Source organism: Homo sapiens, chromosome 3 (assembly GCF_000001405.40).
Source record: "Homo sapiens chromosome 3, GRCh38.p14 Primary Assembly".
Lineage (NCBI taxonomy): Eukaryota > Metazoa > Chordata > Mammalia > Primates > Hominidae > Homo > Homo sapiens.
In genome coordinates this window covers 18,126,712-18,153,926 of record NC_000003.12, presented here as the reverse complement: position 1 = coordinate 18,153,926, position 27,215 = coordinate 18,126,712, and the positions used below count along the sequence as shown (strand labels likewise).

At 39.5% G+C, this 27,215-nt stretch overlaps 1 long non-coding RNA gene across 1 annotated transcript in view, besides 1 other annotated feature; it reads right to left on the bottom strand.

Annotated features, from left to right (window-relative positions):
* The window catches only part of BALR6 (B-cell acute lymphoblastic leukemia associated long RNA 6), a 306,371-nt gene that overhangs the window by 114,996 nt on the left and 164,160 nt on the right, over window positions 1-27,215 (bottom strand). The window lies entirely within an intron of this gene.
* Window positions 25,182-26,057: an enhancer, noted in NCBI's record as "VISTA enhancer hs250". NCBI's record gives its function as "enhancer in: heart[5/12]" and the evidence as "EXISTENCE:transgenic organism evidence [ECO:0001131][PMID:17130149]".

The window sequence follows — 27,215 nt, the reverse complement described above, 5'->3', positions numbered from 1 at the left end:
GGAAGATCTGCCTCTAATGTGTGAGAAACCATCCAAACAGCTGAGGGCCTGGATAAAGCAAAAAGGCAGAGGAAGGGTGAATTCTCACCCTCTCTTCCGAGCTTGTACACCCTTCTTCTCCTGCTCTTGGATGACATAACTCCAGGTTCTCTGACCTTTGGACTGTGGGGACTCTCTAGTTCTCAAGCCTTTTGACTCACACTGAGAATTACACAATTGGCTTTCTTGGTTCTGAGGCGTTTGGACTTTGAATGAGTCACACTATCAGCTTTCCTTGTTCTCCAGCTTGCAGACAGCCTATTGTGTGACTTCTCAGCCTCCATAATCAAGTGAGCCAATTTCCCTAAATCCCTTTTCAAAATCTCTCTATATATTCTATCATTTCTGTCTCTCTAAAGAGCTCTGACTAAAACAGATCATAAATATTGAGGAAGGAAAAGACATGCTAGGAAAACACTGACCAAAATAAACTACTATAACAATGTTAGTATGAGCCCACTATAACAATACTACCATGAGATAGACTAGATAATTACTAGGTGTGAAGAGAACTATTACATAATACTAAAAGAAAAGAACAGTTTACCCAGAAAGATAAGACTATCCTGATTCTCAACATACATAAGCAAAAATAGAAAGAATTCTAAGAAACTGACAAATCTTCAAACATGCATGAAGATTTTTTACACATCTCTTTCAGAAACTTCACAGGTCAGCCAGAGAACTTAAGAAACTTGACAAGTTTACATATTAAGTGATGGAGTAAAGATGCAAGCCAGGCTGTCTAAACCAAAACTTGACTCCCGACAGTGACGCGTTTTGTTCCTTCCATCTCTGTATGCTCAAATCTTCAGGAAACGACGAGTTTCAGCTTAAATGTGTCCTTTGTGCACCCTTCCCTCTCATCTCTTTCCATAACCATGAGGCATCTTGCCACTAATAATAATAATGGTTAACATGTTATAAGTGCTTTATATATTAATCTTCACAACTCTATAAGTACCATTATTATTTCCATTCTATAGATGAATAAACTCACAAACAATGAAGACAGCTCTTCACTCTGTTCATCAAAACGTATGCCCCCACCTCTCTCTAGCATGTACTTTTCTGTTGGGCTTCACTATTACCTATATGCACCCATATGCATGTGTCTTATCTGTCTTGATAGAGTTGAAGCTCTTTAAGAGAACAGGGCATTTTTACGCATCTTTGTAATTCTCATTCCCCAGGCCCTGTTCCCCACTGTCCAGTAAGGTTCTTTACCCACAGTAGATGCCAAATAAATATATTTTAAAAGAATCATATTTTCGTTTGGTTAGATGTAATTTGCTTCAGTTTCCCAAGGAAAGGTGAATATAGCCATGAGGTTGCAATCAGCATATTTTGACAAAGGAAGCAGATGTGAAAAGTAAGAAAAGTTAACAATTTTTATTCATGCTTAGCCACCATAATCACCCAAATAACAGATTAGACCACTTGCTAAATATGATGATTTAGTGGAAAATCTACACAGTATGTAAAGTAAGCATGGTTCCTGGCCTCCAGAAGTTTATATTTCAGAGACAACTTCAGAAACAACTCTGGAAGACTTGAATGCCACATATTACTCTGGCTAAAGATGCCTATTCATCTTTTAAGGTAAAACAAATATAAATCATTTCATCCTTCCAACAACCCTGTTAGTTAGGCACTATTGCTTTCCACATTTCCAGATGAGGAAACTAAAGAACAGAGCAATTAAGTAACTTGCTTAAAGTCAAAAAGACAGTAGTTGTGGGAGGTGGGATTTTGACCCTGACAATCTAGCACCAGAAACTGCGCTCTTACACAATATCATCTCTAACAAGACTATATGTTTATGTGCATATCAAATCATTTTTTAAAAGTAAAACCATAGCTACACACAAGAATCCTGACCCCTGATGACCCCAAACAGCTGTAATTGTCAGTGAGTGCAATTCTTCTCACTAGTGGCAGTGTATATTCCCCTGACCTTCCATCATGTATATCAGGTTTGGCTATATGGTTTGTTTTGGCCAATGGAATGCAGGTAGATGAGGCAGTGTACCAGTTCAAGCCTAGACCTTGAAATGTTTCGTGTATTTCCACTCATCTGTCTTGCACTTGCACCATTGTTATGAGAAGAACATGGCTTGGTTAGCTACTGATCCAAAAAGTACAAAAGACTCCTCCATCAGAAATGAACCTATCCTGCAGCTTGGAGCCAAGCCTGCCTAAGCCCTACCTAGATCAACCAAAATCTAGCTGACCCAGAGACACTGGAATAAATGATTTTAAGCAACTGAGCTACAGTGGTTTGTTACACAGCATTCTTGCAGCAATAGCTAACTGACAAAGACTGGTAGCAGGGGTTGTAGTACTTACTTTAGCATCAATGACTTTCACCTTCCTCTTCCTTTCTAACAACAGAAATTCCTGAGACAAGTGGGTGTGGGGTCCGAATTAGGAGAGTAAATGTCAAAATCAGACAAGATACATTTGGGAGTTTTCATTTTCTGCCATGTTGGCATTTTACTCACACATTAAAAGTCCCTGAAATATCGCTTGTTGGCTGTGCTGTCACGATCCATTCTATAGACATTTTGATGCACTTTATTACAAACTTTAAAATCATATTAGCAGCTGTTATTTTATATCACAATGGATTAATAAGATGCATTTTCACAAATAAGACACATTTTAGATAGTTTTGAAAAAATTTCAGTGTGAAAATCTTATGCCAGGATTCCACATTTTAAATGACACATTTCCAAATAGCCTAAAGTGAAAATGCTCAAGGAATATGCCTATTTGTACTGTGCTTGAAACTATCAGCCCTCCAACAACCCAGGAAACACATAATCTTCCTACATATTGTGTTATTTTCTATTGTTGCATGTGACATTCAGGGAAAATACATCTCTTGGTTCTTGCTGCAGGGTAGTTCAGTGAGTAGCACTAAAAAAATGAAAATACGTATTTTTTCAGTTTCCAATTGCAATACACAAATGATGTACATGAGAATTATCAGAAAAACATTTATTCCCCTTCAAATATTAGAATAATGGAATGTTCTATTGCCTTTTCATGTGAAATAATTAGGAAAGATAAGGATTTTTTTTTTCTTGGAGGCAATCCTGCTTCCTATGGTGTTGCTAAGGAATAAGGAATTTTCTTTCCAACTGATCTTAAAAGAGATATCTAAGATCTATATCGCCTGTTTATGGATTACAGCTAACTTTATAGTCGTGCATAAACTGTACATTTGAGTGCAGTAAGACACGTCCCCTGTCTCACAATAAAAATATTATGGAACATTATATTTCCATATAGTAATGGTACTCTTATTTTACTAGTAGAAAGGTACAGTACTAATTTAATTGACTAACATAAAAGTCTCTCAAGTAAGATCAATACTTTATTTTCTCCACAGTTTTCATAAATGAAGATTTAATTCCACCTGCGTTCCTGAGCCCCCAAGGCAGCGATCAGGCACACGTCTGCTGACCACCCTGCTCTCTGTGACATAGACACGAAACCTTCTGAGGAACTTCGTAATGTGAGCAGCACATCTCAACATTGCTGCGCATCACGATCACCAGGGAAGCTTTTAAAAGGCACCAATGCCCCAGCTCCTCCTCAGACCAATTAAATCAGAATCTCTAGGGGTGGGTTTGGGGTACTATTATGTTTTTAAAGCTCCCCAGGTGGTTCAAATGTGCCTCCTGTTTTGTCATCCACTGACTCAGGCTCTGAATTTCAGGGGGACTGACAGAAGTTACAATCTCAGGTAGACAGGCCCATTGCTTGGTGTCTACCCTGCATTCCTGCTCTGGTTGCTAAGGGCAGAAACTCCCTGCTTAGTGCCCACGCTAAGCAGTTTTTCTTGTTGGTGGTGGTTTTTTTTTTTCCTTCGTACACTGTGGATCTTTATTGCCATTGCTTCAATGCTTTTGAGTGTAGAGCTCCCACCGACATCAGTGGGGGTGCTGCTCCTGGAACGAGTTTGGAATGCACAGTTGAGAGCGCCTTGGTGCAGTTGGAGAGGGAATCTTGCCCTAAGCTTTTTATACACACCAGGGTTTAGGTTTCTTCCTTCCTTTGCTTTCTTCATTTTAATTTTGCATCCTCATGTCTGTGCTTTGTGATTATGAATTTTGAATTTGGAGTTGCTCCTTTACTTTCTCTAAATTTTGCACATATTGTCATTCTTTTTAGGTCTACTGAGATTCACTCTAGGGTAGCTTTTCCTCTGAGTCAGCAGATAGAAAAAGAGAGGAAGAGACAGGCCCAGTTTTACTCCCGACCAGAGCAGATCTAGGCCCACTGAGGTCAATGGTTTAAAACTCACATTCCTCTTCAATGCGATGAGCATACCAAATAAGAGGAATGTTTTAGTTCCTTTTGATCATCAGATGTTATTAATCTGGGTAGGTCTATCAGGATTTAATGACATTGGGCATATGATAGTTTTGTAGCATATGAAGAAAACATTATTTCATGAAGTTTTTTAGAAGGGGAAGGGGAAACAGAGACAGTTAGTTGCCTGGGAGTTTCTCTAGACTTCCACGGGAGGGATACCCATGAAAAGTCCTGAGTGAGAAGCAGCTTGCTTTATGAGATTAACAGTTCTACCTTCTCCTATCCTGAAAGGAAACCTACAAACACTGATACTACTCCATCAGTCAAAGTGGATAAATTGACAGTTGGGGCCCTTTTCCTCAGGAGCACCATCAGAATTCTACCCCATTACAATGGATGATATGAAATGATGCATCTAGGCTTATAATATATAGTCAGATCTTGCAATTATTGAAAGGGAGAGAGGGCACCCAGTGCAGCTACACAAGTGGCTTTGAGTGTGTTCGATTATGATGGAGTCTTTCAATTTTTAATTGTTCTGTAGAGTACTTATGATAGCACAGGTTATGTAACATGCCGCCACTCCAGTTATCTTCCTAGGAAAAAGTCAAAGGAATATTTTTTCTTTTTTCTTTTTTTTTTTTTTGAGATGGAGTCTCACTGTGTCACCCAGGCTGGAGTGCAGTGGCACAATCTGAGCTCACTGCAACCTCCGCCTCCCGGGTTCACGCCATTCTCCTGCCTCAGCCTCCCGAGTAGCTGGGACTACAGGCGCACACCGCCATGCGTGGCTAATTTTTGGTATTTTTAGTAAAGACAGAATTTCACCGTGTTAGCCAGGATGGTCTTGATCTCCTGACCTGGTGATCCGCCCGCCTCGGCCTCCCAAAGTGCTGGGATTACAGGCGTGAGCCACCAAGCCCGGCCGGAATTTTTTGATAGAGAATATTTTATTTCCATTACTGCCATTTTCTTTGGATAACTATTCTTCAAATCCTCTAATCCAGAAAAACCCAAGATTCTATGATAGTTCTCATTATAGAAAATCCAAATTGATGACTTTCCTTTTTTAGAGGAAAATGAATGCTTTCATTGAAAATCATATTGCCCACTTGATGCTGGGCTCTTAACTCTTGTCATAACCACTAATCACGAAGCTCTCATTGGCATGGAATTAACTCGTCATTGGATCCCATGAAACCTACCAGGAGATCTCACTGTGGTGAATATTTTTTTTCTTTAGTCAGTTATTTAGGAGATTTTTTTTCAAATAAGATATTTTAAGACGAGATCAGGCGTGTTCAGGGTGGTATGGAAGTACACTCAAATAAGATATTTTAAATATTTGAGGAAGTGGGAAAGGTGGAATTCAGAAGTTAGTCAAATACCTATGTCTTTATTATCTTCAGAGGAAAATCACATATCAACAATATTTAGAGTATTCCCTCCAAAGGAAACCTTGGAAAATGATAATCAGCATTAAAAATTAATATAAAAGCCTCTATATTTCAATTGTTAATTTTTTCTGGCTGCAACTAAAAGGGAGCGGGTTGTGACCAATTTGAGCCAGTAAATACTGGACTTAGACAGAAGGTTGGTCAGGAATATTTCTGATAATAAAAGAAAAGTATCCAAATTCTTGATAATTACTGAGGTTTCCCCCTTACTTGCTATCTTTAGCTCAGTGCTACTTGACATAGAGAAGATCTGTGAAAAATCATGGATTTTCGCTATGAATTATTTAGCAAAACAAAGGAAAAAGGAAAAAGACAGGCTCATTTCTTTCCTAAATCTAACATACCACTACTCTCACAGCAAAAATAATCAAGCAATGCTGGAAACTTGAAATGGGAAATTTTCAAATTCACATTTCTATTTGGCCATAAGATTTCCTTATTGACTCATCAGCCTTCAAAAATGGAAAGGTCATAATAAAAAGCATAGAAAAAGAATCAACTTAAAGGAAATGTGTGGGAAATTTCCCTCCAGGGTTACATTTTTTAAAGGGCTCCAAAACGAGTATACAAAATGTGGGTGAATATGCTAGTGCACATACACAGTCATTTTGGTGTGAGAGAAACAGCAACGTAGGTATCTCACGAGGCAGACTGTCTATTCAGTACGCAAAGCTTTGCATGAACAAGGTGTAAAAGGTTGTGAATAGGGAGAATCCAGAGCAAGGAGCTCCACTGGGCAGTATCTAAGCCTGCAGCAAACATGCTGAGTTTGGCAGAAGGCTGGGCAGAGATATCTAAGTAAGCAGTGTGTGGTGAAAGTTATTTTAGAATAAATCAGATGCATTGGTTAGCTGATCAGAGCACAAAAGCAAAAGTGGAGCTGCAAGAGACCCCCAAAACATTTATTCAAACATTGGCTGAATCAGTAGCTTTCTTATAAACATGATCAGTGAGTTTAGAAGGCATAGGGTGAAAAGGAGGGGAAGAAGACAAGGAAAGAAATGAATATGAAGGAAGAAACAGATCCAAATATAGATAGTACATGGTTAAGAATTAAGACTACACGGGTGAAAAGGTGAATATCTGAGTAACAGAATAAAGAAGTTAACTGGAACAGTCCCTGATTAATGAATGAGTTAAGTGCCCAAACTAAGTCTGCAAGTCGTACTCTACCACCCCTCAAATTACTTACTCGAGGACTCCTCAAACATTTCCATTGGCAAAGGACAGTGAATACATTCCCTGGAGGCTACAACAGCAGAGTCTGCAGCAATCCTACAAATATGTTGTTTTCTTTCTAAAATAAATGCAAATCGTATATTCTAATCTCCATTTTACCCATGCTTAGCCATACAGGTTTTCCTCAAATCTAGATTGCCGGGCCCAGTGTTCCCCATTAATGGCATAGCTTAGCAAATCTGGCAGTACACACTGTAATCCTGAGTATACACAGTCCAGTTTGGAAATAAGGGAAGGGGAAATGGATCTCCAGCTACTAAGGATGAGCCTTGACCTGGACAGAGGACTAAATAAAAAGTACCAACAGCTTGGAGAAACAAAGAGCCTTGGGCTTCTATGAATATTTCATCACAGTTTCTGGGCCACAGTAGGCATGACATTGATGAATTAAAGCAAATTGGTACCTGAGAAAGAACTGTAAGAGTAGACATAAGCACAGCCATGAGGGGAGTGAAATATTAGACTGCAGTTTTGATCCAGTGCTTTCTTCCAGTCTCCACTCCTGACATCGCTCAATATAGTCCACTTGATCTAATGCACTCAATCTAGTTACCAAATTCTAGCCTGCATAAGAACCACTTGAAGATCTTATCAAAACACAGATTCCTGGGCCCCACACCAAGGGTTTCCTGCCTGCTCAGTGGGACTGGGATGTGGTCTAAGGATCTGCATTTGTAACACATTCCCAGGTGATGCTGATGCTGCCGTCCTGTGGTCCACACTTTAAGAGACACTGATCTAAACAATTCTTTGCTCAATGATCCAGGAAAGGGATGCATAATGGAAATTTGAGAAAAAATCTGAGATTTGAATTTTAAACCCTAGACTTTGAATAGACAATGATTTGGAAATATACTCAAAGAACTGGAAGCAAGTCTTCTTTTCCTGAAGGGAACTGATTAGAGTTTAGATACTGGTGAGGTCCCTGAGAAATGAGCCTGGATTCTGACACCTTCGCTATGAGTCTGGGATGGAGATATGGGGGAAACGACAGCTGATGAGATGTAAAAGTATAAGAAACCTACACCCCAGTCCCCAGGTAGAGCCCTGGGAATGTGGGAAGGTGGGAAAAGCCCAGAGAAGATATGGATACCCGGTGTGTCCGAGTCAAGAGCTGGCAAACTATTCCTTAAAGGGCCAGATAGTAAACATTTTAGCTTTTGTATGCACATGGACTCTGTCACAAATACTCAGTTCTGTCATCAGCACAAAAGTAGCTACAAGTGATATGTAAATGAATGAATATGGCTATGTTCCAATAAAACTTTATTTACATAAACAGGCAGCAGGCCCCGTTTGGTCTGTGGGCCATAGTTTGCCCATGCCTGGTCTAAGCCAACAGAGCTTTAGATAGCTCATGAGCACTTCCTACATTCCAGCATGTTCCAGGGGACCCAAAATCACACCATATGCTAGATGGCAGCATGCAAGTTGGAAAGGGCCTTGGGCAGCTTCTCTGAGATTCCAGCAACCAGCATGGTGGGAGAAGTAAGCAAGCCCTGGCTCTCAAAGGGCTTTGCTGAGGTGGAAGGATTCTAGGCCTCACATCCCCACAGTATCTTGGGATCAGGTAAGCCCCCAGAGCAGCTACAAATCCAGGCAAAGGAGAGAAGGGGAGGGTGACTCCAGATTGATTCTGTTTTCCCAACTCTTGCAGAATGGAGGCTCAAAATAGAAATAGAGTTATGACAGGCAGATTTATGTCGTAGTTTTATGTTTGTAAGAATAAGACATTTTCTTTCAAATTTGATATGTATTTTACACTTGCAACACATCACTAGCCATATTTCAAGTGCTTGATAGTCATACTATTAGCTGGTGGTTTCCACATTGAACAGTGCAGATTTAGATACCAAGATTTTCCCTTTTACCCCTTCCCAGAACAGTCAGACACCTGTCCCATCATTCCTGCCTTTTCTGACCTTAGAGAGAGTTCAGAGAAGGTTGTGTAGGGAGGGTATAGGGTCCAGAGGCTGGAGGGGTGGAAGGAAAATGAAGGAAGGAAGTCAAAAGCCTCCCTTTGGAACCAGTAAAGAGACCAGGAGGATAACCAAACTCATGAGATAACTACTTGTAAGGAATGTGAAAAATTCAGGTTCAAGTCAAGGTCTGTGTGTCTGACCATTCTAGGAAAAACTGTACCATGGATTAATTTAAAAGGCTAAATATAGTAACATTTCCCAGCCATGTTCACTTTTAATAATTTTTAAGTGAAAGATAAATACAGAATAGGAAATAAATGCTATAAAGATAATTCACAATTTGTCAAGAATAGTAAACAAATAGGATAACTTGATGTTCACACATTCTAAGAGAAATAGCCATAATTTATTTATATACCCTAGTACATGGCTTATAGTCAAATTACTATCTAAGGATAAAAGTTGGAGATCGGATGGTTCACCCAGACACTGGTGCCTCAGGCAGGTTCAGAAAAGGGGTGTCCTGTAACTAGAGTGCCCTGAGATCCCTGATTTCTCAAGATCTAGGTACTTCATCTCTAGTCCAGTGGGTTTGGAAGTTTAAGTAACACTCAGATATGTGATCCATAGAATCATGCAAACAAAGCCATATCTGGAAGCAGAAAGTCTAAAGCAGAGGGAAGAGCCCCATTGAGCAGTCTATGAAATTTAGAGACATGATTGCTAACACTACACTCGTGAACACTACACATTGCATTCTCATGGACTAAAACGGCTAACAAAACTCACTTCCTTTTAACCTGTACCAAAACAAGGACATGGTCATAGATTTCTGGATAAATAAAATAATGTTTTTCAATTCAGGAGAAAATATGTCATTTAATGTTTTAAGAAATTACATTCATGAGGTGACAATGGATTAATCATGGATTTCCATTTGGGCAACACCTTCCCTGCCTCTCTGGGATCAGTATGGTCCTATCAATATGTAGGTCATTTTAAATGTTATAGTAGCAATTCTTATAAAAGTAAAATAAGCAGGTGGAAGTAACTTAAATAATATTTCTTCTTACCCAATACATCAAAAAATTGTTTTGACATGGAATATAAAACATCACTCATGAGATTTTTCCTTTTTTATACTAAATTTTTGAAATAGTGTCATATTTTACACTTACAGCATGTCTTCGGCCACATTTCACATGCTTAATAGCCACATGTGGCCATACTGGACCCCACTACATCAGATATCCTGTGATCACCCAGGGAGTAATGAAAAACAAGACCTGCTTTTCGCCAGAAATGGCCAGAGCTCTCTTCCCCTTCAACCAGCACAAAGCTGCTTCACAAACTGTGAGTTCAGTGCAGTCAGCAAATTTCACTGAATGGAGACTCTTAATATCACTGATTTAAACATGTGGCATGTGTGGAGACCCTGATTATTTCTACCGACAAAATAAGAATAATGCTTAGCTGTTAATGACAGCTGAGTGTCAAACAGCAAACACTCAGCATGACACCTCGAGACGATCACATGTGCTTTGTCTTTTTTTTTTTTTAAGGAAATTGAAATCTTTAAAAGCTTTCTTGAAATTGCATTCTTTTTATTCTTAGATTTGATAAATAGCATATGTTTTGGGAGGTGGTGGGGGGGCACAGGGCACCAGGAGAGGGAAGATTCGTGTTTTTACAGCTGACATGTCGCTTGGGAAAAAGTCCCAGGGAAAAACAGTTTGGATGGAGGAGAAAGAAAAAAATTTTACTGCAACCCCATCTTGCCTAGCTTGCTAGCATCTCCTGCTGCCTGGATATTCTGGCCAAAGTGGTAGGTATCACCTCAGGTCACAAACTGCCAAATAGGAAGACGACACTTACAGAAGTTATTAAAATTTGCCTTGAAAAACAAAATAAAAATATAGATTAGCCAGTGTGTTCAAGGAGCTCTTTTCTTGTCCCTAGAGGGAAAGCAGAGGCTACCCTGCTAAGGTAGCAGGCAGCTGGGATTCAAAATGTCCCAGGATTTGGAAGGCATGCCTCTTAGAATCACTCCCATCAATGTATTCACAGCAGAACCAGTGACTTGCCAGGGTTTGTGGGGATTTTAGGAGGGTCAGTGTGTCTTTCTCTTCCACCAAAAAAGAACAAAAGGTGCAGGCCACTCATGCTGTCCTGTCTGGTTTTGGGCCATACTGATAAATAATCTTGCAAAACATCCCAAAGGAAGTCAGGCACATGGGTGTGTCTATACAACCTGAGCCAAAATGGACCAGGCCGAAAATGTTTTGCCACCTGAACGAGCTGTGGGGCTGCCAAATTGGCTCCAGAAGGCACAACCAGGACCAGTGGGCAGAAGCTGCTGGATGTAATTTTCAATTCATTATTTGAAAAGGGCTTTTAGAAATCAAGAGTCCAACAATGGCATGGATTTGCGAAGAAGAGAGCTTCAAATCAATGGATCTGTCCAAGCACTGATTGATTGATCTCTCAGGCAAGCTGCATCGGGAAATTCTATATTTTGAAAGATTCCTTCATTCAGTTGATAACCTCTAAGTGCCCAGCACTGGAGTCAGAGAAATGAAAAGGACATGGTCTCAGGTCTCAAATTACTCTTAGTTCATGATGGGAAATCGCAGAGTTAAATCTCAAATTGGGTGGGTTCGAGGGAGTGTGGCCCATTCTAAGCCCCACATCCATATAGGCAGCCTGTTCCAATAAGGTAATAAAATCAATCAAAATACTAACGATGACACAAGCCTCAGGGCATGCCAATCTTTCTGCCTGGAATTTCTCCCTCCATCCCCTAAGTTTACTCCTACCTTCCTATGGTCCCCTCTATTTTTTTTTTTTTTTTTTTTTTTTTTTTGAGATGGAGTCTCGCTCTTTCGCCCAGGCCGGAGTGCGGTGGCGCTATCTCGGCTCACTGCAAGCTCCGCCTCCCGGGTTCAGGCCATTCTCCTGCCTCAGCCTCCCGAGTAGCTGGGACTCCAGGCGCCCGCCACCACACCCGGCTAATTTTTTGTATTTTTAGTAGAGATGGGGTTTCACCATGTTAGCCAGAATGGTCTGGATCTCCTGACCTCGTGATCCGCCTGCCTCGGCCTCCCAAAGTGCTGGGATTAGAGGCGTGAGCCACCGAGCCCGGCCCATGGTCCCCTCTTTGACAATGCAAACTGACAATCAAAATATTTCTCTTCTTGGGAACCATATTACACAGATAGTTAACACTGTCAAGCTACTGTCATTTCATGCATTTTTATCTTCTTGGTAATATTACAAAGTTCTTTAAATTCAGGGGTAAACATAGTCTGCATTTTCTATATCTAGAACTATGATAATTCTAGGTTTGTTGCAAGAATGATGAAAAATATATATTAAATGAATGAAAATTCAAGAATATTAAGAATATTGACAAGGTGGTATATTAAAAATAAATGATCCCAACCAAGAAAACCAATGAGAAAACTATATCATGCTACTTAGGTCTCTAGAGTACATATGGGATAGGCACAGGAAAGACACAGAAATGCAGAGATTCATGATAAAGAAATTCAAGTAGTTGTTGAATTACTAAATTAATATTTGAAACTCAATACATGCATAAATTAACTGTTAGAAACTACTGGGTTTGGTTGCATTTATATGCTCAATACAAAAGAATTTACAGTATGTCAATTTAAAATAAAAAGTCCCAATTGTGTTCTCTTTCTCTAACAGTTTTTGTCTGTTAACATTAACAGACAAAATTTGTCTGTTAAATTAACATTCTTGTCAATGTTTAATTTAGGTATATAATTGGCTTAAAGTTCTCTTCACGTTGTTGAAGGATTTCTCTATGGTACTCAAGCATCCCTCAATAACATGGACCAATCAAGCCACGCACAAAAGCTAACCAAAGCTTTCTCTCAGGGAAAGGCTTCCTTACTTCCTGCCTCAACTGAGTCACCTTCAGCTGATACATTTCCATCTTCCTCACCTTTCTACAAATGCAATTAACAGTATAGTTTCCATTAAACAAGAAAACTCACAAAAATATTATGTTTCATTTAATGTGTGTAAGAAGATATGAAGAATCAACTGCTACTTCATTTTAGCTATTAGAGACATACTATATGACTTTTCTAGAGGTATTTTAAAGAATTAAGAATTTTAAAAACACTCTTTTTATTTTAAAACATAATGATTGCAGTCAAGTTACTTGTGCTGATGAGAGAGATAAAGAAATGCAGCCAACTAAGACTTTTAAACCTAAGTATAATCAGTACTCCTGTCTGTCTTTCCTATGAAGAATGGCTCAGAGCAAATTTTAAGTATTCTGGTAAACACAAATAAGGCAGTTCTTTTATTTATCTTATTTCTGTTCTTATGAAGGTATTCATGACAATGATATAGAACAAACTTGGAAAAGGAAAACATGAGCAGATTATAAATAATCACACCAAACAGTCAGGTATCAAATCACCGACAGGCATCCTATCACGGCTGAGAAACAGGAGAAAAAGATAAAGGAATGGCCATATTCATGGCCAGCCCCACCTGTGAAAATGCAAGCCTCAAGAGGGAAGAAATGTAAACAACAGATCTAGTTTTGTTAGCTTGAATTACTGAGGTTCTATTCACATTACAAGGCTTTTTGGGCCCTTCCACATCCAGGGTGCCTCGCCTTGGATCTCTCTGAGCCCTCCAGGAATGTTTAACAGCCCAGTGACCCATGTCCTGACTATCTCTTCACTTGAGAAGAGAAAGTTAAAACTTTTGCTCAGTTACCCCTAAGGAATCCCATCCCCTTTAGTTCTTAGTTCTTGTGTCCCACCCATTGTCTAGTTTTTCCTCAGTGAGACAACTGGCAGTGACATTAACAAGCCCCTGCCCCTGAAACCAGGAGACTGGTAGTCAGTGAAGAAATGGACCTTGGTGACCTGAGATCCCCAGTACCATCACTGTCTTCAGACTCAAGGAGTGAGGGGTTAGAAATCCCTGTCCCCTGGACTTATGCTTTTCTATCACAGCCCACACACCTTAGGCCCAGGCTCCCTTATTAAATCACTTTAGTTACACACCTCTCTCTGGTTACACACACATACACCACATAGCTTCTTTGGCTGAGACATCATCATTATCATCATATTTATTGAGGGATTACTGAGTTAAAGCCTTCTTGTCTATAACTTATTTAATCCTCACAACTCTTTGAGGTGAATTCTACCACTAACCCTATTTTATGGGTGCCAAAACTGAGGCACACAAAGAGTAAGTAACTTTCCCAATGTCACACAGTTGGGAAGTGCAGAACCGGGATTCAAATCAAGCAGTCTGATTCTAGAAGCCACATTTTGTTCTGTGCCCAGTATTACCTGCCATTCCCACCCCTGGCTTGCACATCCCAGTCAGAGAGAGGAAGAAGCTACCACAAAACCCATGGAGACCTGGTGACTTGCCCAAGGTCAAGAAGAGATGGCAAGAAATTAGTTCACATGGCATTCATGTGAATTACCCCTGTAATAGGCAGCATATGGTGACTTGGTCTCAGTTTTTGGCAGAGGTCTGGCAGAGAATACTCAAAGGACTCTGTCTCTCCAGAATCTCTCTGGATGAGCTCTGTGGAGTTTGGTATATCAAGCCACAGAGACATCTTCCTCATCCATCCTCCACATTAGCAGTCAGCCCTGCTTCCTTACTAAGCTTTAAATTCCCTTTGTATAGGAGCCAGCTCTGGCTTTGTCTTGCTGGGTAAGAGCCTGCTCTCACTTTAGCCTGATGTCCCAATGTCTTCTGTGTCTAGTGTTTATTTTTCAGATATAAGGATTGCTGAAACCATTCTAGATGAACTTCTGAGAGTCTGGAGTGCGTCTGGAGACCATATTGGATATAATAGCAAGTGGTTTCTACAATATCTACTGGATCAGAGAGTGTATTTTTGGGCTGAAGCTTATGCATTTTCTGTGCCATCTTGCAATTAAAATGGAAAGTAATTATCCAGTTCTAAAATGTGGATGAACTAAAAATTATACTGTAATATTTCCCCATAAGACGAAGGGGGTAATAGAACTACGCTGATTCCATTTATTTTTAATGGCCCATCAAAGATGACAGGATTTGCCATTTTGTAAGAAACCATCTGACTCATCTTGAACTTCAGTGAATCCAGTGCCTAATTCTATGTGACATGTCTGGTGGTGCCTTATATTTTTGCAAAAATAAAATCCCTCTGATTAAAATTTCACACCTAGCTGAGGACCATGAAACTCTGATTACCTGGTCCAGTCCTGGCCCAGCATTGCCAAAAGGTTTACAAACCTCAGTACAACTTGAGGGGAACTTGGCCTAGGCTTCAAGTTAGTGGAATCATTCAAAGCCCAAGGCATTTGCCAGGTGGCTGTTTCCCTGCCCTGTGTCAGCAGCTCTAAATTAGGCACATGCTCTTTAAACCAGCCATGAAAATGATTGGCCAATATAGCCAGAACCCAAAGGAAATATGATCAGGCTGGCCGTGACTGAGGCTAAGGGCATAAAAGAAGTTCATCATTCCTCTCCTTTGTCATTCTCCATGGGTTTGAGGAGAGAAAGCAAAGTTTATTCTCTGAAAGCAGATGCTAGAGTTCCAGTGACATTGAAAGAAACAGAAAAAATTGCAAAAGCCCAGATTTGCAAATGTTGGTGTTATGAAATAGAGGCAGGGGCAATCTTTAGGCTAATGATATTATAAAATTGTTTGTAAAGCCTGGGGCTTAAACATCTCTAGTGCCATAACTAGCTACTGTTTTAAAAAGGACATTTGGTTCACATTTGCATCTTTGAGATAAAGATTTTTATGTCAGAAGTTCAGCCCTCTGGACAGCGTAAAATCTTAAGAAATACTGTCTGGGTTTTACGAATTGTCCACAAACTTAGTGTTTGGTTTTTGAAGATGGTTTGTGGCCCAGGCTCCCATGTGACCTCACCCTCCAAAGGTTAAGGATGCAGTCTAAAGAATTATCCATAAGTTTAAAGCCTTCTAAAAGTTATTAATGTTCTCAACTTGTATAACCTTGTCTATGCTACCTACATGCTATATAAAACAGTGTTTTCTCATGTTTGTTCTTGAATTCTTGCTAGTTTCAAGCAGGTTCACTAGTTTTCTAATTACTATAGTTGGTGAACAAGTTCTATACTCACTTCTTTTGATTAGATATATTTCAATCATTTCCAAGCTCAGATTGTGGTGGCAAATATGAAAGATGAATTGATATCTGTGAGATGTCAGTGAGAATACCCCAAAAACTATGCAGAAAAAATATGGGGAGGGGTTGAACTGAGAGAGTAGCACAAGGTTAGAAGAGGGGGGTAAAAGGGATCTATATTGTAGCCCTAAAATCATTACAGTTTATCTATTAAACCTCAAAGAAGAATAAAAACTTTCTGAGACCTTTTGGAACTATCTAGAGATCCTTAGCAGAAGTCATGAGTGCTGAGAAAGAAGTAATGAGAGAAAGCAAGAGGTGGAATCTAGGACAGAAGCTTGCTAGCGAAAAATCTAGAATTTGGCAGAGTCATTTGAAAGGATATGATTGAAGAACACAGCAAATGGAAGGGGTTCATTTAAAAATATTTGGCACATCCTGATCTGAACAAGGACATAACAAAAGAAGAGGCACACGAAATATAGATAGAGACGTAAATAGCGTGTAGGACCAAGGTCGAGGCTGGGCCAATTTTGGAAAATAAGCATTAGATGCTACTGCAAGGCACTGACAGGGTCCCCGAGAATTAGGGATGCATTAGACCACCTGACAGATGCATGGAGGTGTGACCCACACGAGTCCCAGAAATGAACAGAAGAAGCAAAAAAAAAAAAAAAAAAAAAAAAGAGCAACTGATGACTTTAAAATTAGAAAAACTAAATTTGGGCTTATTATACCCAAGAGGAATATAGCCTGATGCACAATTTATGCAAATTGATAAAGCTGATTACACAAATTAGCCAAGGCTTTGGCTTGTTTTTTCTCTGGTCAATAAGTCCCACCCCCCTCCCTCCTTTTTTCAAACTCAGTCTATCACTATTGGCATTTACAACAAACCATCTTGTTACTTGTGATGGCCAATTACTTGAAAACACTGAATGGAAATAGTTTCTTATTTCAGGCTCTAGGCCTGGACTTGTAGGACGCTGAATGAGCAGGACAGATTAGAATAACTAGCTCTCCTATAATAGTGACATAGTTAATTTAACATAGCCCAAAATCAACTCTCAGGAGATTTTCCATTCAGATAACCCTCAACAAAACTCCATCTGAGTTTTACTCAACAGAATGCAACACATTATTTGTGAAGTATTATTAATATGCATCTCAGCCAATCCTCAGAGTTATCCTAGGAAGAAGAATCTATGGACATAATATAAATGTGAGAAACTAAGTTTTGGTAAAATTAAGTAACCTTCCTGATATGGTTTGGCTGTGCCCCCATCCAAATCTCATCTTGAATTCCCACATTTTGTGGGAGGGGCCAAGTGGGAGGTAACTGAATTGTGGGGGTGGGTTTTTCCCATGCTGTTCTCGTGATGGTGAGTGAGTCTCATGAGATCTGATAGTTCTATAAAGGGGAGTTCCCCTACACAAGCTCCCTCTCTCTTTGCCTGCTGCCATCCGTGTAAGATGTGACTTGGTCTTCGTTGCCTTCCACCATGATTGTAAGCCTTCCCCAGCCACGTGGAACTCTAAATCCAATTAAACCTCTTTCTTTTGTAAATTGCCCAGTCTCCGGTATGCCTTTATCAGCAGTGTGAAAACAGACTAATACACTTCCCAAGGTCACGGAGTCAGTAGGGAATAGAACTAGGACTGAAATCCAAGTCCGCACTCCTCTATCAAAAAGGGGTTATCACTTATATCAGTTATCTTGGCTCAAAAAGTTGAATTGAATTTTCTGGCTCAAGCACTCACCCTAGTGTGTGTAGTTTTAGAGAGTGAAAATACACTACATGATGGGCAGGAAGGCTCCCTGCAAGTCTTCTGGTGAGGGTGGTGTGCTACAGTGTTCAGGAACCTAGGGTTAGAGTCCTGCTACTTAGGTATCTGTATGGATCATGAAAAGAAAGTTAATATCTCTCAATCCCAAGTTTCTCATCCATACAATGAGGATACTATCATACGGTATCTTCCTTATGAATTGTGTGAAGGCTAAATGAAAAAAATTAAAGCACGTAAAACACAATGCCTGACCCAGAGAAATCAGTCAATAAATCATTAACTACTAGGACATTCTTAGTGACAGAGAGAACCCATGTGTTATTCAACAAACCACTCCTGTAGTCCTAAGTAGCAGCTACTATTCATGTATTAACTCATCGAATCCTTACAACCACTCTATATGAGGTAAGCATTATTACTAGGCCCATTTTACAGTGGAGGAAATGGAACTTTGGGTAAGTTACATGCCTATGGCCACAGACCTGGTGCAGGGCAGGCAACGGCCAGCAGCTGGCCCTCACTTCATCAGTTTATGGCAGCGCTGTTCTATTCAATCACTCTGCTACCCACGGAAGCCTGTAACTACAGACTGCTGCTCCTTCTTCCCTGCTTTGCTTAGTTTCCACATGGATTTAAGCAGCTATTAGAAGCCAATCTATCCTCCAGAAAAGTACAGCCCACTATTAATAAAACAGAAGCCATGTGACCAATGATCAGGATTCTAACAACAAGCAGAAACATGCACTCTGACAGCCTTAAAAAGATAAATATTCCCAGACAGAAATCCCTGATCTCCCAGTGACTCATTTTATTCTACTTTCTTCTCTTATATTTAGAGCATTTTCTTCGACGAGGCATACCATTTCCCATGAATGAAAATGGAGAAAGTAACAAGGAAAGGGAATCCCATCTAAAAAAAATAAAAGCTCTGTCTTGTTCTTTCCTCTTCAACCAGCCCACATGCCAGCTGTGAGCTTTGATGGCTTAATAGGACTTCCCCACGGCCAAAGGACAAAAGAACTGTCTGTCAATGTGGTGGGATCAGTATTGCCACCAAGGTGCAGATTTAATTTCTTCAGTTTGGTGACATGTGACTGATGATGAGGTCACCAAGACAAGGAAGAAAGTTGGGAGGAAAAATGAAACACCCTGAGTATTAGTAAGAGATTTAAATAAAAATATATTTCCTTCTTAGAGGGTTGTTCCTTATGAAGTATTCTCAGGCCATTTACTAAAGCATTTGTAAAAATCTACCTAGTAAATAGAGACCACTTATTGTTTCTCACTGTCACTGTTCTTAGCAGTGGTAATTTTTCCAAAAAAAACAATTAGCAACAATTGGGACATATTTTTAAATCATAGGATACATGAGGAAATACTGCATATGTGAAATACAAAGATGAATCATTGAGAAAAGATGTTGCTGTACTACATAGAGAAATGACTCAAAGTGGGAAAGGCAAAAGCCTTGATAAGAATTTATCTCCATGCAAAGAGAAGAACCGAAAAGCAAAAGTAGAAAGAGGGTCTTCTGGTATACAATTATAGCTTTGGACATAAAGCAAGACACCAGAATTATACATTAATATTAACAGGACAATAGCTTTTCCTTCCTTTTAATTATTGTGTGAATACTTCTGTAGAACCAGATGACTGCACTTAGAATAACACTGAGATCTGAAGGAGTGCACCGGGAGAGCAACAAAAGATTCTGAGGAGTCTGAGGTCCTAAATTACTAACAGACAACATTAATGGAATACTTACCTTACTACTTACAAATATTAATGAGTACTTAACGTAAGCTTGAGTAGATATAGGAAATAACATAATTCCAGGTATTACCAAGAGAATAGATACACAAAGGTGAACATCCTTTCTCTCACATTCTTGCTAAAAGTTTCCTAGTCTTTTCTTCCCATGCACACTAATATGAAGGGGCCAAATTTAAAATCCTATGAATTTGTTTCACCAAACTGTAGAGGAAGATGGCAGACAAAGTAAACAGGGGAATTATAACATCTCAAGACTTCCATTGAATTTTCAGAGGTGAATCCTCTGAAGCAAACTACCAGTGTGGCATTTAGAAGGGTCTGTTTGTTAATTTTCTCTATTCATACGCCCCACTGCTCGGCACCTATACTATTCTCAATGAAGTTGGCCATGACCTCCACGTCACTACAACCAATGGGCTGTTTCACTCTCAAATTCCTTGATCACTCAGTAATAGTCAACAGCATGGACTGTTGTTCCCCTGGCATCCATAAGACCACACTCTCTTGACTTTCCTCCTACCTATCTAGATACTTCTCCTTAGTATATTCTCATCCTCTTCTACCCAGCTTTCAATTTCAGAGTTTCTCAAGGCTTGATCCTGGAGCTTCCTGCCTTCTTACTATCAACTCTCTTCCTCAGGGAGCTATTGATGTCCATGGCTTCTATTACTCTCTATATACCTATGACTCCCTGAGGTACATCTCCAGCTCAGATATCTTCCAGTCTTCACTTGGATGTCTCAAAGGCACTTACACTAAGCCAAACTCATGGTCTTTCCCCTCATCTTGAACCTTCTCTCATATTTCTGAACTCAGTCAATAACACGTCCATTTACATAGTTGCAGAGGCCATAAACAAGTCTATTTCTCATTATCCATTAATTTCATTCTTAAAATATTACTAGGGCCTTTCCCTTCTTGATTTCCACTGTGACAACTTTCATTTAAGCCTCTTTCACATTTCATCTGAAATATCTTTCTAATTTATCACTCCTTATCTTCCCTTGAGGCCCTTGCATGCATTCTCCCTTTAGCAGTCAGGGATATTCTATGAATATGGAAATTTGATCTGGGTTCTCTCTTAAAGGCCTTTAAACTTTCTCATTTTTCTGAGGATTAAAAACTCCCATCTTTAACATGGCCTAAACATGAAGGCCTGCAAAATAGGGGCAGGTTATCTTTACTGCATCCCTGCAATTTCCTGCTTCAACCACACTTGCCTCTTTTCTGCTCTTCCAAAGGGCCATATTCCTACCTGCTTTGGTGCCTTGTACATGCCTGGGCCTTTTCTCCTATTCAGCCTTCAGAGTTCAATGCCACGTTATATCCTCAATAAAGGATTTCCTGACCTCTCAGCCTAGGTCAAGTCTTTTTTTTAGATGATTATTTAGCCTGTGAACTTTTGCCTCATAACACTTATCATACGTTTGCTTATCTATCTATCTCATATGCACTTAATGTGGTCAATAAATGGATGCTCATCTTAGTGAACATTGGCCCAAAGTTTCCGACCAGGCAACCTGGGTAGTAAGCAACATTGTAGGGCATCTGTGATAATTACTGTGGTAGATTAATTGACAGCCCAATTAATAACTTCCCTGTATTCACACCCTTCACAACGTGACTTTGCAAATCATTCCATCAAGTATTAGAGTTGATTTCCCTACCTTTGAATGGGGACTGGGCTTGAGATTTGCTTTGGTGAAAGAATGAATGGGGGAAGAAGTGACAGGGTGCCAATTCCAAGCCTAGGCCTCAAGAGCCTTTGCATGCTTTCACTCACTCATTCTTTGGACCTCTGCTTTTGCCATGTGATCAATACCAGGATTGTTTATCAGATGATGAGAGATCCTGTAAAGCAGATCCTAGCCTTCCTAGCTAAGGTTTTCTTAGACTATGAAGCTTCTACCTAACCCACCATCTGACCACAGACCCATAAGCAAGTCCAGACACACTCAGCCAAACCTGGCACAGATTAGCTGAACTGCTCAGCTAAAATATGGACCCATTAGAAACAATAAATGGTGTTTTAGCCACTGACTTTTGGGGTGATTTGTTACACAGTAATAGATAAAGGATTCAGCTACCAACTAAAAGTTTCTCTATAATGTACACTTTATCCAAGGAAATGTATTTGAAGCCTCAAATGTTTAGCTATCAACAAATACCAGTGCCTTCTTTTCCTTTCCTTCTTATCTGGCTGGGTAAATGTATACATATTTTTACAGGACAGTGAATTCATCACCAAATATAGCCCTCTGAAAGGAATATAGGTGAAAGTCACTCCATATTTACAGAGAAATTTTATCAGACAAAAGCATCAACAGAAAAGACATGTTTAGTCTCCATTAACTACACAGCTGGACATTCTGGCTGGTCTGGGAGTTCAGCCTTTATTGGTGGGAGGCAATGTGTCAATTCTTCACCTGTATGTCCATCGGCTTTTGGGTCTTGAGGGCCATTGAGTGGAGTCTGATTATAAATTTGCTGCCTTATATCTACTGTATCCCCAAATCTACAGAGAAATAGAGAAATTTCTTGGCAGAAAAGAGAATAGAATATTGATACAGTCATGTGACAATAAAATATATCTAAAGGACAAGTGTGAATGCACCCTTGACCAAATAGTGGGAGGGGGCAGCAGACTCTGAGGGAACTCTCAATTGGTCCTGTCTAAGGGTTAGAGGTGACTCTGGTTTTAAATGCAGCCTTTAATATGCATCAGATTCCATTCTGACAGACTCATCCAGTTACTGGAGTATACCTTGGAGTAAATAGCTCCATGTGCATATATATATTGAAAGAGATAAACAACAAATTATAAATAGAATAAAAACTTAAGGATGGAAAATAAAACATCAACATTTAGAAGGAAATATGGGAGAATTTAGTTAGAATGTTATGTTAGGACATTATCTCCTAAACAAAATGCAAAATTTATAAAATCATAAAGGAAAAGATTCATATATTTGGCTGCATGAAAATTCTAAATTCTGTTCAGTAAAATTACCACATACAAAACTAACAAAAGAAAAGCCATAGACTGTCACACACACATATATAAACACACACACACACACGGAATCTAAATATATGGAAAAGGATCAGTATTCAAAATATACAAAGAATTCTTCCAAATCAATCAGAAAAAGCCAAGTACTCCCAGTGAAAAAATGTGCAGAGAATATTAATAGGAAATTCACACGATAAGAAATCTAAATGATTCACAAAACATAGGAGAAGATATTCAATCTCACTAAATGATTTGTCCACTTTATCTATCTGTTGGCAAAATTTTTAAGTCTGACATTATCAGGTGTTGAGCAGATTGTGGAAAAGTACAAACTATCATAAACTACCAATGGGCATATAAATCTATTGAGCCACTTTGGAGAGTAGTCTAGCAATGACTAGCACAATCCAGCAATTCCACTTCTGGCTATAAATTCTTTTTAAAAACTGTATTGCACATGTACAGAACAAAAAGTTCATCACATCATTGTTTCTAAAAAGAAAAAAAAAGAAATCTAAAATGTCCATCATTAAAGTGTGAGCGAATTAAGTTGCTGTGTTTGTATATAATGAAGTACTATATGGCAATTAAAATAATTTACATTATGTGTATGAATATGGCTAAATCTCTGAAAAGCATAATGTGGAGTGAAAAATACAAATTGCAGTTTCATGCATATGTAAAATACTATATATGAGAAAAATATATACATGTCTAATTTAAATATAACAAATGTATGTGAATAATAAACATAGCACCCATGATTGTGGCTGCCTTTGAGATTGAGAAAGAAGATAACAATGTCAGAATATATTTTAGAAAGACTTAACTGAATCTGGATTGTCTTCATTCTTTCATGAAAAATGAAAAAGATTGAAGCAAAAAAAAGAATACTGGAATATGTTAGTTCTACGTGATAATACATTGATATTTAACTTGTGTTTCTCTATAGTTTTCTGTATTTTAAAAATATTTAATCTTATTGTACAAGAACTTATTAAGCACTGATTAAGTGACAAAAAAAAAAGAAAAGAAAAAAGCAAGAAAAAAAGAACTCAGTTAGCTTCAGGTCCCTGTCTGCTCCGAGAAGTGTTCTGCAAAGTTACAAATGATGCCCGTGCATAAAGAGTTTCATGGTCAACAGAAATTAACATGAAGACCCAGGCTTGGCCTTCAGAGAGCTCCCGCTCCACGGGAAGAACTGACTCAGTTGTGTGTCTATGTAGCAGGTGACCAAAAGCTTCCCAAACTTCCATTTCTAGTAAACTAGGTGCACGGAACTCTGTTTTCACTTTCCTTTACTCCTTTCTGCCACACCTTGCAAGAGCTTCTTAAATTGTGAAATTTCTGACATTCATTTCTGTGAGTATTCTACAAAAGTAAGGATATTTTTGTCATCTTCCAAATGTCCAACACCTTTCTGGTTTTCTTTTTATATGGCTTCTAGATAGATTAACTTTTTTCTACCACGCTGTCTGAAAAGGTTACCATTTCAAAAGCTTTATTCAAGAAGGGTTGTGATAAAAGTGCCCTAAATTTCCACCCTATTGGATTGAGGATGTTGGATAGAAGTCTGAAAAATAGAAATATAGAAGCCAAAAAGAACTTTTTAAAAGGAGTGATAGAAAACCCAGTAGCCTAGTGAAGATCAATAGTACAGTGAAGACAAATGATCCAAGAGGCCAAGTTCACCTTTCCTCCTGGCATCCCTGGTATGTTCCAGGAAGAAAATCGGTACTGCTGAAGAATGGGATTGCCCGTAAATATTTCTTTAAAGCTGAAAGATATGGGGGAGACAGTGTCTTATTTTCACTTTCCCCTGAACTCTCCCCATCCATGTTCAACAGGAGTAGCTGGTGAAAGTGGGTATCAATGTTGCTTATTGGAGATGTTGTAAAGGGGACTCCAGCTTGGAAGGAAGGTTGGATTAGATCACCTCACTGCTTCCTTCTAAATCCATGCTTCTGATCCTAGAACAGGATGTTGCTGACTGAGACTCTGCAGGCTGGAAGCCTCAGAAAATGCACTCGGGTGGGGTGCTGAAAGCAAGTGGAATCTGAGGGAATTTATTTGGGCATTTACCCTGGGACCGCTTTGGAACCAAAGCGAGAGGCTGAGGAAGAGGGGAAAATGACAAGGAAACAATTTCTGAATGTGTGCAGAATCCAGAAAACATGTTTTACTATGTCCTCAGCTGAATTTTTGTCTCCCACTTTCCCTATGCCAAAAATGACCTCACTATATTCTTCACAGAATGAGGCTCATGGTTAGAAGTCTCTTTATACACAACAATAATTTTAGAATGTGATACATGAAGGAAAGCTATCCACCACATTATAGAAAATCCATGGCTTCCCTGTATCTATCAGGTAAAAGAAGTTACCTGAAATGCTCTGTCCTCTTCCTCCTCAGGGGTCAACAACTCACCCAACCCCTACAGCCCTGTCAAGGAGATCACATACAAAACCCACATGCCAGCCTATTTTTCTCCATTAAGCAAAATATCATCATGACATTCACTGAAAAAAGGGGTAAAGGAAGTCTGTGTTTCAGATTTTGTTTCAGTCTTCTGGAATCAAACAAAATAACCCACATAACGGCCTCTGGGGCAAAAAGTGTGCAAAAATGAAGGTTTTAGGAAAACTCCAAATTGGATCAGGCCTGAGACTTAAACTATATACCGTGATTCTTTGGTATTGTTTGGTTTCATCATCTGTCTCCCACTTTGCCCAACTTTTATCAGACAAGACAGGAAGCAGGCACTCTTTATTCTGTATGCACAGTAGCTCTCTCAAAAACATCTTTATTCAGCTTCTTCGCTAATGTCTCCGGCAAAGGCATCAACATGCTTTGTGCAAAATGAATTACTGCTAATTAAAAATCAACAGAAATGAGCATGCAACACTCTGTGCCCCATTAATATTTTAACCAGCAGCATGAGTAATTAAAGCTGCGCTAATTTTTTCCTCTCTCGCACAGCATCTATAACCAGTCAATAAATTACATAAAAAGTACAGGTGTGTTTCGCTGTCAGAGGCATAATATAATGATAAATCGACATCATTTCTCATACTTAACGGTCCCCCATTTGGTGCCAACTAAGAACTTGCTGTTATCTTTGCATTTGTAAATGACACACACGCATGCCACACACACACACACACACACACACAAAATACTAAAAGGGAAGGCCATACGCCAGTACTGGCCCAAGTTCATGGGCTTCAGTTTGTACTTCAAAAGAGGGAAGCTAGTTGTTTGATAAGCAAAGTCTGCTGCCCTATATTTTGTTTCCTCTATTTTTTTTCCTGATGTTCATGAAGAGGGGATATGCTCCCCAGCCCCCAGGAACTATGTCAGAAAGTAAGATGGAGGAAACCATTACCAATTTCTATTATATTTTTCAATGCACATCAAGATTCACACACACACACACACACACACACACAAACACACACACACACACACACACCCTGGTGAGTACAGACCCTAGCCCTCTGCCATTCCCCAGTTCACTAGGCAAACCACTTCTGCTTTTTCCATTTCAATGATTACTCTTTGTAAAGCTTTCTCTTTCAAAAAAAAAAAACCCGATATGTACAGATGTTAAGTGTTGCTCTTTTTTCTTCCATAGAAAACATTAAGAAGTTGTTATTTACTGCTTCCTTTGGAAAGGTTCTAAATTATTTATCCCTCAGTAGTTCTCACTCTTCTTTTCCCAGTTACATTCCTCTTTCTTAGGACCCCTCTTGCCCTCCTTCCACTGGCATCAGCACCACACAAGCCCCCAGGTTGTGCCTAAGAAAAGCACTACCTGTTTCAGGCCTTTCAGAAGGCAGCCAGTAGGTCCTGCTGTAGCTCTACATTTGCCTTCGTTGGTGAAGAGCTAGAGCTCCAACACGGCTTTCTCTAAGAGGCTGACTGTGAATGCAATTCTGAAGGATGGATTCAGCAATTCTGGGCATCCTACAATGTGTCTTCACTTTTCTGCTAAAAAATGAATGTCAGCAGACAGGATGAGAGAGACCATTTTTAATTCAGTATTACTTAAGTCGAAAATACGTCCCTCAATCTTTCCTCCTCTAAGTAGCTTTTTTATTTTTACTAATTAAACAATTGTTTGCTTTGGAGAAGCAGTAAAATACGTTGAGAGTACTTTTAGCCTAAGGCAACTAGATGCCCCAGATATATCAGGCCAGTACCATCTTTTTAATGGACTTTCTTGCTGTCTGCTGCAAACAATCTGGGCAGTGAGATGCTCCAGCTCTCCTGGTCTGTTTCCCCTCCACCCTGTTGCCGTTCCAATGGCCCGGACTCCTTCATGCCTCACATCTGCACCATTAGGCCCCAGAAAGGTGGGCAAGGGGCCCAGTGGCCACAAAACCACTTCTACTCACTGGCAATACTTCAACAACCCTGCTGCCTGCATCACAAAAATCTTCGATGATGTTCAGTTCACAAATCTGGTTAGCTTATTTTAGCCAACTGTACTATCCACAAA